Source organism: Homo sapiens, chromosome 4, assembly GCF_000001405.40.
Source record: "Homo sapiens chromosome 4, GRCh38.p14 Primary Assembly".
Taxonomy (NCBI): Eukaryota; Metazoa; Chordata; class Mammalia; order Primates; family Hominidae; genus Homo; species Homo sapiens.
This window is the reverse complement of record NC_000004.12, coordinates 38,233,006-38,247,865: the sequence shown is the minus strand read 5'-3', so window position 1 is coordinate 38,247,865 and position 14,860 is coordinate 38,233,006. Positions and strand designations below refer to the sequence as shown.

At 44.0% G+C, this 14,860-nt stretch overlaps 1 long non-coding RNA gene across 1 annotated transcript, besides 3 other annotated features; it reads left to right on the top strand.

Moving 5' to 3' along the window:
• Positions 3,155-3,352: a silencer, noted in NCBI's record as "fragment chr4:38246135-38246332 (GRCh37/hg19 assembly coordinates)". NCBI's record gives its function as "represses an EF-1alpha promoter that drives an FKBP-Casp9 reporter gene in an ReSE screen in HepG2 liver carcinoma cells {active_cell/tissue: HepG2}" and the evidence as "EXISTENCE:reporter gene assay evidence [ECO:0000049][PMID:32094911]".
• Positions 4,129-4,630: an enhancer, noted in NCBI's record as "H3K4me1 hESC enhancer chr4:38244857-38245358 (GRCh37/hg19 assembly coordinates)". NCBI's record gives its function as "activates a minimal SCP1, AML or CMV promoter by ChIP-STARR-seq in primed H9 embryonic stem cells {active_cell/tissue: H9 hESC(primed)}" and the evidence as "EXISTENCE:reporter gene assay evidence [ECO:0000049][PMID:30033119]".
• Positions 4,318-4,487: an enhancer, noted in NCBI's record as "experimental_79581 CRE fragment used in MPRA reporter constructs". NCBI's record gives its function as "activates a minimal promoter by MPRAs in K562 erythroleukemia cells, with activity observed for both the introgressed and non-introgressed 4:38245085 variant alleles {active_cell/tissue: K562}" and the evidence as "EXISTENCE:reporter gene assay evidence [ECO:0000049][PMID:34662402]".
• LOC105374408 (uncharacterized) lies at positions 4,411-14,308 on the top strand. The gene is made up of 2 exons (XR_925214.3): positions 4,411-4,522; positions 13,996-14,308. It is a non-coding gene; the product is annotated as an uncharacterized LOC105374408 (long non-coding RNA).
• The last annotated feature ends 552 nt before the right edge of the window (positions 14,309-14,860 follow it).

Genomic DNA, 14,860 nt, shown 5'->3' with positions numbered 1-14,860 from the left:
TTACAGATTAGGACAAAAATATTTGCAAAGTGTAATGTAATTAAGGATTTATATCCATAATATCTAAATAATTTTCAAAACTCAGTAATAAGAAAACAAAACCCAATTTTAATAAGTGAACAGATGCTTTGAACTGAATGTATGTCACTTTACCAAGAAAGACATACAAATGGCAAATAAGCACATGAAAACATGTTTCATGTCATCAGTGATGAGGACATGCAAAATAAAACCACGATGAGATACTACTTCATATCCAATAAAATGGAAAAATAAAATAACTGGCAATACCAAGTGCTGGTGAGGATGCTGAGCAAGTGCAACTTTGAAACATTACTGTCAGAAATGCAAAACGGGACAGTGTTTAGGAAAACAGTTTGGCAGTTCCTTATAAAGTTATTTTCTATATACTTGGCATATGATCCAGGAATTTTACTCCTAGGTATTCATCCCAGAGAAAACAAAGTACATGTATGTATGTGAATATTTATAGCAGCTTTATTTATTTATGTATTTATTTATTTATTTGAGACGGAGTCTCGCTCTGTCGCCCAGGCTGGAGTCCAGTGGTGTGATCTTGGCTGACTGCAAGCTCCGCCTCCTGGATTCATGCCATTCTCCTGCCTCAGCCTCCCGAGTAGCTGGGGCTACAGGCGCCCACCACCACACCCAGCTAATTTTTTGTATTTTTAGTAGAGACGGGGTTTCACCGTGTTAGGCAGGATGGTCTCGATCTCCTGACCTCGTGATCTGCCCACCTTGGCCTCCCAAAGTGCTAGGATTACAGGAGTAAACCACCACGACCAGCCCAGCAGCTTTATTTTTAATCGTCAAAAACTTGAAAGAGCCCAAAGGTTCATTAACTGGTGTATGGTTAAACAAATTGTGATACATTCATGAAATGGAAAAGTATACACCAATGAAAAGAAACCAACTACTGGGACATTCAACAAGATGGTTAAATGCATTTCAAATACATTATGATAAGTGACTAACCCCAGACTCAAAAGGTACAGACTATGTACCATTTATATGTCCATTTATATGTCTATGTGTACCACTTATATTCTCCATTTATATGTCCATCTGAAAAGGCAAATGATATAGGGATAAAAACAGATCAGCAGTTACCGGGGGTTTGGAGGAAGAGTTGATGGCAAATGGAACATGAGAGAATTTGGAGTAATGGAAATGTCTTTTATATCAATTGTGGTGGTTACCCTGACTGTATGCACTTGTCAAAACTAACAGAACTGTTTGTTCGTTTGTCTTGTTTGAGACAGGGTCTCACTCTGTCGTCCAGGCTGGAGTACAGTGGCACAGATTGGCTCACTGCAGCCTCAGCCTTCTGGCCTTAAGTGATCCTCCTGCCTCAGCCTCCTGAGTAGCTGGGATTACAGGCATGCACCACTGTGCCCACCTAATTTTTGTATTTTTAGTAGAGACGGGGTTTCACCACGTTGGCCAGGCTGGTCTTGAACTCCTGGGCTCTGGCCATCTGTCCACCTTGGCCTCCCAAAATGCTGGGATTACAGGTATGAGCCTGGCCCTGTTTGTTTATTTTTAAAGCATGTAGGCAGGGCTAGAATTCAAACTCTGCTTTCCACTTTTGAAATATCTAAATGGGTTCCTTGAGAGCTGTCCACAGGAAATCTATCAGTGGGATTGTACAGATACTCCTAAACCTCCAAAGAGGTTACACCCCAGTAAACCTATCAGAAGTTAAAAATATCATAAGGCGAAAATGAATTTGGCACACCTAACCTACTGAATAGCCTACCCTGCCTTAAAGGTGCTCAGAACACTTACATTAGCCTACAGTTGGGCAAAATCATCTAACACAAAGCCTATTTTATAATAAAGTATTAAATATCCCATGGAATTCATTTTAATACTGTACTGAAAGTGAAAAACAGAATGGTTGTATGGGTACTCAGAGTTTCTACTGAATGCAGGTCATTTTCACACCATTGTAAAGTAGAAAAATTGTGAGTGGAAGTATTTTAAGTCGGGGGCTTCCTGTACTGGGATCTCTTCTCCCTTTGTGCCCTTCTCTGTGTCATAGGTAAAGAAGCACACACTGGAACCCGGGTCCTGACTCTCACTGAACAGCTGTGTGGCTGCAGGCAGGTCACCTCCTCTTTCCATCATGTTTTCTCAGCTGTAAAGTGCCGGTCTTAGTCCATTCAGGCTGCTGTAGCAAAAATACCATAGACTGGGTAGCTTATAAGTCACAGAAATTTATTCATCACAGTTCTGGGGACTGGGAAGTGCAAGATCGAGGTGCTGGAAGATTTGGTGTCTGGTGGGAGAGAAATTTCTGGTTCATAGATGGTGCTTTCTGTACCTGGTAGGAGGGGTGAGGTTGCTCTCTGAGGTCTCTTTTATAAGGACACTAACCCCATTCGTGAAGGTTCTGCCCTTATGACCTCAATACTATCACCTTGGGGGTTAGGATTTCAACACATGAATTTTGGGGGAACACATTCAGACTGTGGCAGTACCTCACTCGGATCATAACCTCAAGATTAGTCCAGCTCTAATTGTCTATGATTTTCCCCAAGGCTCTTTCCTTGGGTTAGAGAGGGTAGCCTTAGCCGCTCAATCCCAACCTGTCCGGCTTTAGAGTTTTAAAGCTCTTTTACAGACATCAGCTCATTGACCCTTACAAAACCCCGTGAAGCATTTAATGATCCCTATGTTATTGTTTAAGAAACTGAGACCAAGAAAAATTAATTTGCCCATCACAAAGTTTTCACAGAAGCCAGATACAGTACTCTCATCTCCTTTTGAGTTGCCTTGTCCCAAGTGTAGGTCCCAAATCTTTCTAGGTGTCTCCTCTGTCCCCTATTCGGTAAATTATTTATGTGGTCCAACAGTTCTAGAGTAAGATAAGCAAAAAAAAGGACCAAACAGAAAATGGCATTTGTATACTGTGATAAAGCCTGAGCTTTAGGGGTCTAGGAATCCAGGGATCAAAGCAGGACCCACACCTGCTTGCCTCTGGTGCCTTGCTAATGGGGAATCCTGCAATTGTGCGAATGTTCAACCTTACGGAGTCCTGAGGGAGTCGGACACTGTTCCATGCATCCAACGCGTGCTATTTATTTAATCTTCCCAACAGCTTTTAACGTAGTACGATAGTCAACCCCATTTTATACATGAGGAACTGAGCTCTGAGAGGCTCAAATTCAGGCTCCGTGGCCCACACTCTTCCTACTGTCCATCAGCTAAACACGTGTTTTCTAAGATCACAGAAAGATCTACCCAACTGAAAGTGGAAGCAAGGGAAGGAGGAGGGGGCCGGGCGCGGTGGCTCACGCCTATAATCCCAGCACTCTGAGGGGCCGAGGTGGGTGGATTACGAGGTCAGGAGTTCCAGACCAGCATAACCAACATGGTGAAACCCCGTCTCTACTAAAAATACAAAAATTAGCCGGGCATAGTAGCAGGCGCCTGTAATCCCAGCTACTCGTGAGGCTGAGGCAGGAGAATCGTTTGAACCAGGGAGTCGGAGGTTGCAGTGAGCTGAGATCGCACCACTGCACTCCAGCCTGGGCGACGGAGCGACACTCTATCTCAAAATTAAAAAAAAAAAAAAAGAGAAGTGGAGGAAGGGAGGGCAGGAGGGCAGGAGGGCTGGAAGGCAGACACAAATGGAAACACAGCAGGATGAAGGTGAGCAGCAGTGACCTATCAAGGCATGTGATGGGTGCTTGAAAGACACAAGAAACAAAGAGGCCCAGGGAATAGAACACAGGAGAGAGGGGCAAAGGGCTGGGGGCCCAGGAGTCCCCACTACCCTTCCCCTCATATTGGCGCGCACACATACAAACACACCACACACACACCCCACACAAACACACACCCCACACACACCACACACATAAACACACACCACACAAACACACACACACACCACACAAACACACACCACACACACCACACACATAAGCATACACCACACAAACACACACCACACACACACCACAAACACACAAACACAAACACACCACACACACACTCCACTCACACACACCACACAAACACACACCACACACATAAACACACACCATACACACAAACACACACCACACACACAAACACACACCCCACACACATACCCCACACACACACCACACACACACACACCACACACACCACACACACAAACACATGCACACACACCACACACGCACCACAAACACACACCACACACACCATACACACACAAACACACACACAGCACACACACACACAAACACACACACTTGCCCAAGTCCACTGAGCTCACTGGCTACATCCTTCACAGCCACAGCCCTGGCTTGTTTCACTTGTGTGTTTATTTAGCTTAAGCGTCTGCTTTAAAGGGCTCCCTAAGAGAGGCAGAGCGGGAGGAGTGGTGGGAACCACCCTTTAGAAGAGGACGTACTGATTAGAAAGGAGCTGGGAAGAATACAGCTGCCTGAAAGCTGACAAGCCCTAGAGATGGTCTCCCTTTATTTCTCTTCCATAGCTGCTGGTGAGCCCCCCACTTCCTACTTCCCGTCCTCTCTCTCTGTCTCTCTCTCTCTCTCTCTGTGTGTGTCTCTCTCTGCAGTAGGTGGTGGCCGCCCCAGGCTTTTCCTGCTGTAGTTGATTATGTGTTGAGTGAGAGAGTCTCTTTAAGATGGTATCTACAGCGACCTCAAAGCACAAGTCATTGTTTTTAAAGAAAAAGAGCCTCTGATGGCGGAGAGCATGGTGCACTGGGACTCCACCTGGGTGCAGAGATGATCAGGAAACTGGGTTCCAGCCCCAAGTCTGTCCTTGGCAAGCCATGTGATCTCATGCCACTCAGCCTCTCAGATTCCTGCCTGAAAGAGGGTGACATCTGTCCTACCCACCTGAGGATAATAAAAAAGATAAGGCATGTGAAAGCACTTTCCACAATGCCAGGGAGTGATAGGTCCCCAGAAAGCTTTTGCTGATTGATTGACTGCCAGAGTGATTGATGATGCCTGGGGAGGACAAGGCCTTCCTGTTTATTTAAGATGTTTTTCACCAAAAGCTACTGGATGATGGATACAGTCTTCAGGGGCAAAGACATTATTGCAAACATAAAACTGATTGAACATTGTGTCCTGGCCAAGGAGTTTCCTACTCATTCTCTCCTCTAATGGAATTCCTGTCCCATTTAACACGATGCGTCTGTTATGGAGTCCCTAATTAAGGACCTGCAAGAAAGGTAAAAAGTCATTATCGCTCACCTTAGGAGACACTCATATTACTCAGGGTTTTCAGAGCAAAGCCCTAGGGAATGTCTGTCTTCCTAGACTTGGCAAACCTACCAGCCTTCCTAGACTTCTCTACACATGGTCACCAAGATCCAGACATTCTGAGGTTCTAAGAGCTCCTTTCAGCAACTTTACTGTGCAAATTGAGTTTAATTCGTTGAGTTTAGTTCAGAAGGAGCTAAGAGAGGAAGATCAAGATCCATGAATCTAGTATTCGTGAGCAGGCATGTCACGCCCTGGGAAGGTGAGTCAAGACACGGCATTAAAATAGGGGTGTGGAGGGATTCAGCCAAGGAGACAAAGTGAGGCTGATGGGGGAAAAAGAGGAGGAGTCCTTATGGTGATGTTTGACTTGTGTCTTAAAAGGATAATGTGGCTGCTGAATGGAGAATAGACTTGGGAGTGGAGCTAGGGCTGGGGGTGGAGTGAAGTAGGGAGAAAAGGTAGGAAGCTATAGGGAAAGTTTAGTGGAGAAATGACAATGGCCTGGTTCAAAGTCAGCCATGAAGAAGGGGGACATGGTTGACATTCTTGGAGCCCCATGTAACACCTCCCTGGAAGCATCAGTGTGTTAGGCACTTTTTTTTGTTGGTTTGTTTTGAGATGGAGTTTCACTTCTGTTGCCCAGGCTGGAGTGCAATGGCGTGATCTCAGCTCACTGCCACCTCTGCCTCCTGGGTTCAAACAATTCTTCTGCCTCACCCTCCCAAGAAGCTGAGATTACAGGCCCCTGCCACTATGCCTGGCTAAATTTTGTATTTTAGTAGAGACAGGGTTTCACCATGTTGATCAGGGTCAGGCTGGTCTCAAACTCCAGGTGATCCACCCGCCTCAGCCTCCCAAAGTGCTGGGATTACAGACATGAGTCACCGTGCCTGGCATGTTAGACACTCTTTAAGTTTAAATGCTTTCCTTTTAAGATCAGGAATTACACTAACCAGTTTAATAAGGCCAAAATAAAATAAAATACATCAAGAATGGAAAGGAAGAAAGTAAAATTTTCTTTATTTGCAGATAACATGACCATGTTTCTAAAAACTCCTAAGGAGTCTATTGTTTAAAAGTTCCCAGAACTAATACTTGAGTTTAGCAAAGCCCCAGGGTGTGAGGTCAACATAAAAATGGTGTTTCTATATACTATCAAAAAACAACTGGCGAACCGGGCGTGGTAGCTCATGCCTGTAATCCCAGCACTTTGGGAGGCTGAGGCAGGCAGATCGCCTGAGGTCAGGAGTTCGAGACCAGCCTGCCCGACATGGTGAAACTCCATCTCTACTAAAAATACAAAAATTAGCTGGGTGTGGTGGCAGGCACCTGTAATCCCAGCTACTCGGAAGGCTGAGACAGGAGAGTCACTTGAATCCCGGGAGGCGGAGGTTACAGTGAGCTGAGATCGTGCCACTGCCCTCCAGCCTGGGTGACAAGAGTGAAACTCTGTCTCAAAAAAAAAAAAAAACCCAAAAAACTGGCAATGGAAGGAAAGCAATCAACTTACAATATCACCAAAAACATGATATATTTTGAAATAATTTTAACAAAATATGTGCAAGACTGGTACAATGAGAACTACAAACATTTACTGACAAAAGTCAAGGAGAAACTGGACAAATGTAAAACATAGCATGCTCATGAATTGGAAGACTCAATAGTGTTGTCAGTTACCCAAACTGATCTACACATTCAACAAAATATCAATGTCCAGGTAGCCATTTTTTAGGAATTAACAAGCCAATTATGACACTTATATGGAAGTAAAATACAAGAGATCTAAGATGGCCAAGACAATTTTTTAAAAGAAGAGCAACATCAGAGACTTACAGTATAAGATTTCAAGACTTAAAATCAGTAATCAAGAGAACCTGGTATTGGCATAAGAATAGGCATGCGGATCAATGCAGCAGGATAGGGCTTCCATAAATAGACCCACACAGATATGGTTGATTGATTTTAAACATTGATTTTCTTTTTTTTTTTTTTTGAGATGGAGTCTCGCTCTGTCACCTAGGCTGGAGTGCAGTGGCGCGATCTCAGCTCACTGCAACCTCTGCCTCCTGGGTTCAAGCAATTCTCCTGTCTCAGCCTCCAGAGTAGCTGGGATTACAGGCGTGCGCCACCACGCCTGTCTAATTTGTATTTTTAGTAGAGACGGGGTTTCACCATATTGGTCAGGCTGGTCTCAAACCCCTGACCTCAGGTGATCCACCCACCTCAGCCTCCCAAAGTGCTGGGACTACGGCATGAGCCACCACGCCTGGCCTAAACATTTGATTTTCTATGGTGGAAAGGATAGTATTTTAAACACGTAGTGTCAGAACAGCTGGACAGCCATATGGGAAAAAAATGAACCTGTACCCCATACTATACACCAAAATTAACTAGAGATGCTAATAGATGCTAGAAATATAAAACTTCTAGAAAAAGTAGGACAAAATCTGCAATCCTGATGTAGACAAACATTTATTAGGCAAGACACAAAAACTATGAACCATGGGGAAAGACATTTATAAATTGGACTTTATCAAAATTAAAAACTTTGCTCCTTTCATCATTAATGAAAAGGCAGACCAAAGTTGGGAAGAAAATTTTTGTAATACATGTGTCTGACAAAGGACTTGAATCCTTCGTATATCCTTTTAATCCTTTGAATATCAAAAGAATTCTAAATTATAATAAAGTAAACAAACCAATAAAAAGTCAGCAAAAGACTTGACACTTTACCAAAGAAGATATGCAAAAAATTGTCATGCCTTGCTCAGTCCTGGCAAGAAGTTCATTGTCCTTCACACACGTGTGCACACTCACTCACTCACACACACGTATTCTTTTCCTTGACCACTAAAAGTTCGCCTGTCCTTCAAGGCTCTGTTTAAATATCCTTCTTCTTAAGTCATACTTTACCCTCAAGGTTCTTCTGTTCCTCTGTGTTACTTATTACTTTGTATGAGCCTTTATTATGAAACTTGTCTCATTCTATTATGATGATCTGTTTCGAGTCTGTTTCCTCCACTTGAATGTGAAGACTGTCTTCTTCATCTTGTTCTCTTCACCACCAAGCACAATGCCTGGCATAGAATAGATGCTAAATAAATGTCTATAAATAGAGGGAACAAAACATTTCTTCCTGAAATCTTGGAATGCAAATTATATCCCATTCCTATAATTTCTGTTAAATTAGGATTACTAGGGGAATAAGGAATCCTAGATCCATGAAATCAAACCATTTTAGAACTCAGAAGATCTCAGTTGTTTACAAATTGTATTCTGCAAACCTGAGAAGCCACCTGCAAAAGAGCCTCCTGCAAAGGCTGAGGTTCCTCTATAACCTCATTTTGGAGGTAATGCAGTAACAATGTCCAGGATTTCCTCTGTTGAGTCTTCTAAAAGTTACTTTTTAAAAATCCTCTTTTATTAGAAATTTAGATGTTTACCAAGTGATTGCTTCATACCTGTTATTAGAGGGCCCTCTGGCATGTTGGACTAATGATTTTGATGATCCTTTTCAGTCCTAACAATCTACTATTAGGTACACCCCAACCCCATTCCCCCCAAATCGACTGTGGTATCATTTTTTGTTTTTTTTTTTTGAGATGGAGTTTCACTCTTGTTGCCCAGGCTGGAGTGCAGTGGCACGATCTCAGCTCACTGCAACCTCCGCCTCCCGGGTTCAAGTGATTCTCCTGCCTCAGCCTCCCGAGTAGGTGGGACTACAGGCATGCACCACCATGCCTGGCTAATTTTTGTATTTTTACTAGAGATGGGGTTTCACCATGTTGGCCAGGCTGGTCTCAAACTCCTGACCTCAGGTGATCCGCCCACCTCGGCCTCCCAAAGTGCTGGGATTACAGGCGTGAGCCACTGCGCCCGGCCTGTTTCATTTTTATTCAAAGCTAAAGTATTATGTTGGTGCAAAAGTAATCGTGGTTTTTTCCATTAAAAGTAATGGCAAAAACCGTGATTACTTTTGCACCAACCTAATAATAAATAGTGTATAAAGCAGATGACCTTTCTCCTTGAGGTTCAGAAATTCACTACCTTCCACTGGTCTTCAGACACACTCTTCTATGTTGCCACAGAATGCACCATGACCTCTGTTGTGCTCCTTCAATCCAACCCCCGCTAAGCACCTCTTCACATCTGTCTCTATCTCACCTCACTGATTCGGATATAAACACTAGAGAGCTAACATTCTGCAGGAGAGACAAGAAAGTACTCTCTGTGGGTTAAAAAAAAATTGTTTTCATACCATAAAGTAATACACCTCCACTGTAGAAATGTAGGGAATTTGGATGAGAAAAAAATTGAAATTACTTTTAGTGCTACATTACACAGTGGATCACTTTTAATCATTTCACAGCAATCTTGCCAGTCTTTCTGTATGTAAGTGTGTGTGTAACCAAAATGGGATCATAGTGTTGTAGAGTCTCTTTCTTCTGCCTTAAACCACATATTGGACATATTCCAATGATGTTAAAATTCATCTCTAACATTTATTTTTATATTTAGCAAAATATCTCTAACAATCCCCTACCATTGAGCAGAGAGGTTATTTCTAATTTGAAGCCATTATAACAAACTCTACAATGAAAATCCTATTTCCTACAGCTCTAAGAATTGTCCTCATTATTTCTTTAGCATAAATTCCTTGAAGTAGAATTCTGCATCAAAGGGTATGTTAAAAATTTGAAACAACTTTTATTTTTATTCCGCAACATTTAATATTTTTTATTATTTTACTATTATTATTATTTTTGAGACAGTCTCGCTCTTTCACCCAGGCTGGAGTGCAGTGGCATGATCTCTGCTCACTGCAATCTCCACCTCCCTGGTTCAAGTGATTCTCCTACCTCAGCGTCCCGAGTAGCTGGGATTACAGGCACCCGCCACCACGCCCGGCTAATTTTCGTATTTTTAGTAGAGATGGGGTTTTGCCATGTTGGCGAGGCTGGTCTCGAACTCCTTACTTCAGGTGATCCACCCACCTCGGCTTCCAAAAGTGCTGGGATTTCAGGTGTGAGCCACTGCCCCCAGTCAACATATAATATTTTAATGTAGGTTTTGCAAGAGGCTTCCACTAGCACACACAGCTCGTCTTGGATTTTGGACTGTGCAAGTTTCTGGTTAATTAAATAATTTTGGTTGTTGAACTCATGGTTGCCAAATATGTATATGCTGTAAATGAATCATCCAGCATGGATTTTTCCTTCCACCAAAAGTCCCCAGCAAGTTGGCATTTCCTGTGAACTGTTTCACTCTAACTTAGCTAAGGTTGCTCACATCTGGCCCTTCCTGTTTTCTACCTCCTAGTGGATGTGTGTGCTTTGAATCACGCTGCCCTCGATTGCTAACTCTCCTTTGGCCAGATCCTGCCTTTAAATCCAGGAGCATTTGTCACTAGCAAGTCTTTCATTCATTCTTCTTTGCCAGTTTGTAACACCTTGTCATTAGGTGACCTTGGTCAATTTCAACAAGGTGTTTGTATCTTATAGGTCATTAATAAAGATTAAAGGGGCAACGCCCAAGCTGACCTCCCTGGCCCCACCCATGCCCCACCTTGTCAGTTTCATCCCTGCGTTTCACGACACTTCCATGCTTTCTCATTTCAGCCCACATGACCACACATTTGGACTCCACCATCAGAACCCCCTGCAGTGCCTTAAGCAGTGAGCACACTGTGGAACTTGAAGACTCCACCTCCCATTTGATTTTCCTCAGGCTCATTTAAGAGCCCCCCCTCCCACGTACCTTTTCATATCCATTCTCCACCTTCCCTAGCTTGCTCTGTACCCCAGGAGGCTGGCTAGGAAGGGTGCCTCAATGGACTCCACAGCCCCTGCCTTCCAGTTAGGTTCAGCCTATAGGGAGCACTGTAGGAGGTGGGAGGGATGTTGGTGTGAGGTCAGGGTCCCTCACTCAGCTTCCTCCCCGGGTTGCTGCAGGATGGCTGAGTCCTTCTACTGAAGGCCCAACCTCTTTACACAGCTATCCCTCCAAAGTCTCCCACCCGCACACTCTCCTTGCCCTTTCAGCCCCAGGGGTGTGTGATGGTTAATATTAGGTGTCAACTGGGCTGTACTGAGGGATGTCTAGATAGCTGGTAAAGTCTTGTTTCTGGGTGTGCCTCTGAGGGTGTTGCCAGAAGAGATTGACACGTGAGTCGGTGGACTGGGAGAGGAAGACCCACAATCGATGTGGGTGGGCACCATCCAATTGGCAGCCAGCATGGCTGGAATAAAGCATGCAGAAAAAGCTGGAGGAGCTTCGCTTGCTGAGGTCTCTGGCTCTCTTTCTCCTTCCCACATAAAAGCTTGCTTCTGCTCCTCCTGCTCTTGGACATCAGGCTTCAGGTTCTCTGGCCTTTGGAATCTGGGAGTTGCAGCAGCTGCTTCACGGTGGGGGCTCTCGGGCCTTCAGCTGCAGACTGAAGGCTGCACTGTTGGCTTCCCTGGTGTTGAGGCTTTTGGACTTGGACTGCGCCACTACCGGCTTCTGTTTCCCCAGCTTTCAGGTGGCCTTTCGTGGGACTTGACCTTGTAATCGTGTGAGCCAATGCTCCCTAATAAACTCCCTTTCGTATATTCATATATCCCATTGGTTCTGTCCGTCTGGAGAACCTGACTAATACAGGGTAGGAACAGTCTCCAGTGGCTCCCCTACAACTCGCCCATCTCATGTGAATAGTCTATTAAACCCTCCTCCGTCTACTCAGTATGAGAGTGGCATCTGTTCTTTACTGGGATCCTGATACACCATATAATATGACCAGCTCTAGGATAATGCCACCACAGGGCTGGGCTGCACACAGTCCAAGCCCATCACCTCTGCCTCCAGACAAACTGCAGTTACCCCTAATCTGCCTCCCATCCTTCTCTCAGATCCACAAATGTTTAGTTCTTTTGGAGCTCTCACATTTGTTAATATAAAAGACTTAGAAACTCTTTTAACAAGAGTTATTTCAGATGTTTCAGAATTTTCCATTTATTCATTTAACAAATATTTATCAAGCGCCTCCTATGCGCCAGACACTTGAGCTAGACACGGAGCACACATCTATGAGCAAAGCAGACATGCTCTGTGCTGTGAGAATGTGCAGAAGCTGTGAAACTAGTGACCCAGAATGTTCTGAAGAGGCACAGCTTTTTGCAAAAAGAGTGCCTTTTATTATATGCATTTCAAATGGGTGAAAGTGTCTATTTTTTGCTGGGGGCTTAAAGTAATATTCCATGATATCCTATTTTTGTGGAAATCCAAGAAAATAGGAAGGCAGTTGTTCCTAAGAAAAGGAACATTTTGAAAGGGAGGGGAACCTTCATGTCCTTGTAATCAAAGGCTTGCCCCCAGCACCCAACAGTCCCTTCAATCTTGGCATGGCTGAAGCAGTGTTGTCACCTTCATGCCATCTGCCCTGCCTCTGCTCTTCCCAAGGCTGTTGTCTTCACACACCTGACCCATCCCAGCCTGTTAGGCAAGCTGTGCATGTCCCAAGATGCTCACATGTACCACCCAGGACCCCTTTTCCTCCCTGACATGGTCTCACTCCTAGCCAATTTCTTCTAGAGTTTACACCTTGGACATGGCTACCTTTACCACCACCACCTCTGGACCCATGAAATTGGTGCTTCTTCTAAACTTTCCAGGCTTTCAACTCTTGTTTATTCCCAGTGAGTATGTTTGAGCTTATCCTCTGGTTTTCTGTATCCCACAAAGGAGCCCCTCTCTTGGTTCTGGTCCCTTAAATCCCAATTCCTAACATAAGCTCTGGACTTTCTCTGTCTCCTCCACCAACTCTCAAAACTCAAGAGTTCTTTTCCAGTCAATTCTTATTAACTTTTCTTCAGATGCCTCAAGATCAGTCCCCTTCCTTTTCTTTCTTCTGTACTCTCCCTTTGTGCTTCCCTTTGTAACATTTTTGCTTCTCACTCTTCCTAAGAAGAGCTAAAGGAGGTCCTTGCCTTGAAAAACAGATGTTTTCCTGGGGAATTGTGTCATGAAGTTTTTATAACATTTGAAATTCAGTCAATATGTTTAAGATAATGATGTTGAAAATAGTAATAATAGCTTCCGATTACTATGTTCTCCACATACTGGGCAGTGTATTGAGAATTTTGTATGCATCAGCTCACTGAATTCCTATAGGAGACCTTGAAGTAAATATTCTCATTCTTCCCAGTTTACAGTCAAGGAAACTGAGTCTGAGAGAGGTGCAGGTGCAGTGGCCTGCCCAAGGTCGCACAGCAAGTGGTAGAGCTGGGACTCCAAGGCAGGCCTGCTCAATTCCAAAGTACAACTTCCTTTTTTTTTTTTTTTTTTTTTTTTTGAGATGGAGTTTCACTCTTGTTGCCCAGGCTGGAGTTCAGTGGCGCAATCTCGGCTCATTGCAACTTCTGCTTCCTGGGTTCAAGCGATTCTCCTGCCTCAGCCTCCCAGTCCAACTTTCTTGACTTCACCACTACACTAGTTGGAGGAATCCTGTTTTAATTCCTCTTAAAAGGAGCTTGTTCCTAGCATAGAAATATCCCCTCTTCAGCTACCCACTTTGTTAAGGTTAAACTTATATAACAAGCTTCCCTCTGAAGGGCACAGCCATCCTACTTTACCAGGTGGTGGAAGTCTCGCCAGATGAAACCTCCTATTTACTCTCCATCCACTGCCTGGCCTGTGCTGGGTGTGGCAGTGGGTGGGGAGCCACCCAAATGGCCTCTTTACATTTGTTCACCCACAGGTTTTCCCGAGGATGACTCTGGCTGCCCTGACAGCCCCACCACAGGGGACAGCAGCATTTATTTGACTTGACTAGGATTGGAACTTCCAGTGATCTACAATCTCCATATGATCTCTGTTTCTACAAGGAAGCACCTTCTCCATGAATATTATGCACTTAGTTAAACTGAGCCATGGAAAGCCAATCATTCATTCAACAAATATGTACAGAGTGTCAATAATGTACCAGGCAAGAAACAAGGAGCTGCGCTCTTTCTTCAAGGAATCCATAGTTCTATCAGTAGAAGGAATAAAATATTCTAAGTGTCTTTGTAGTAGATTGAATTATCATTTCACAAATATTCCCTCTCCCGTCTCACTCTCCTCTTCCCTGCCCCATTGATTTAGGACCTGACTATGTAAAATACTTTGGCCCATAAAATGTGGGCAGAAATGATAACATGCCAGTTTCAAGTGAAGCCTTGAAGAGGTGTTGCGAGTACTTGCCAGCTCTCTTGAACTCCTTCTTTTTAACATGAGAACATTGTTTGCTGATGGGGGTGTCCCTATAGGCTGGATCCCAAAATAAGAAGACAGACAGAGGCAGCCCCGAGCCACTGCACCTAACCCATACCCACTGATGAACACATGAACAAACAGTGCACATTTGTTATTGAAGGCTACTGGGACTTTGAGGTTGTTTGTTACACAGCATCATCACAATAATAACTGACTAGTCTAGTCTCCTACAGAGTTAGATTTCAAACCAACCCTGTGATGTTTTTCTTGGACTTTGAACTGAATTATTGTTCTACTAGGTGATGACTTTCACTAATTCATCCAGGATATCTGTAGGGCCACCAGTTGGGTGGGGGGAGCTGTCTGAA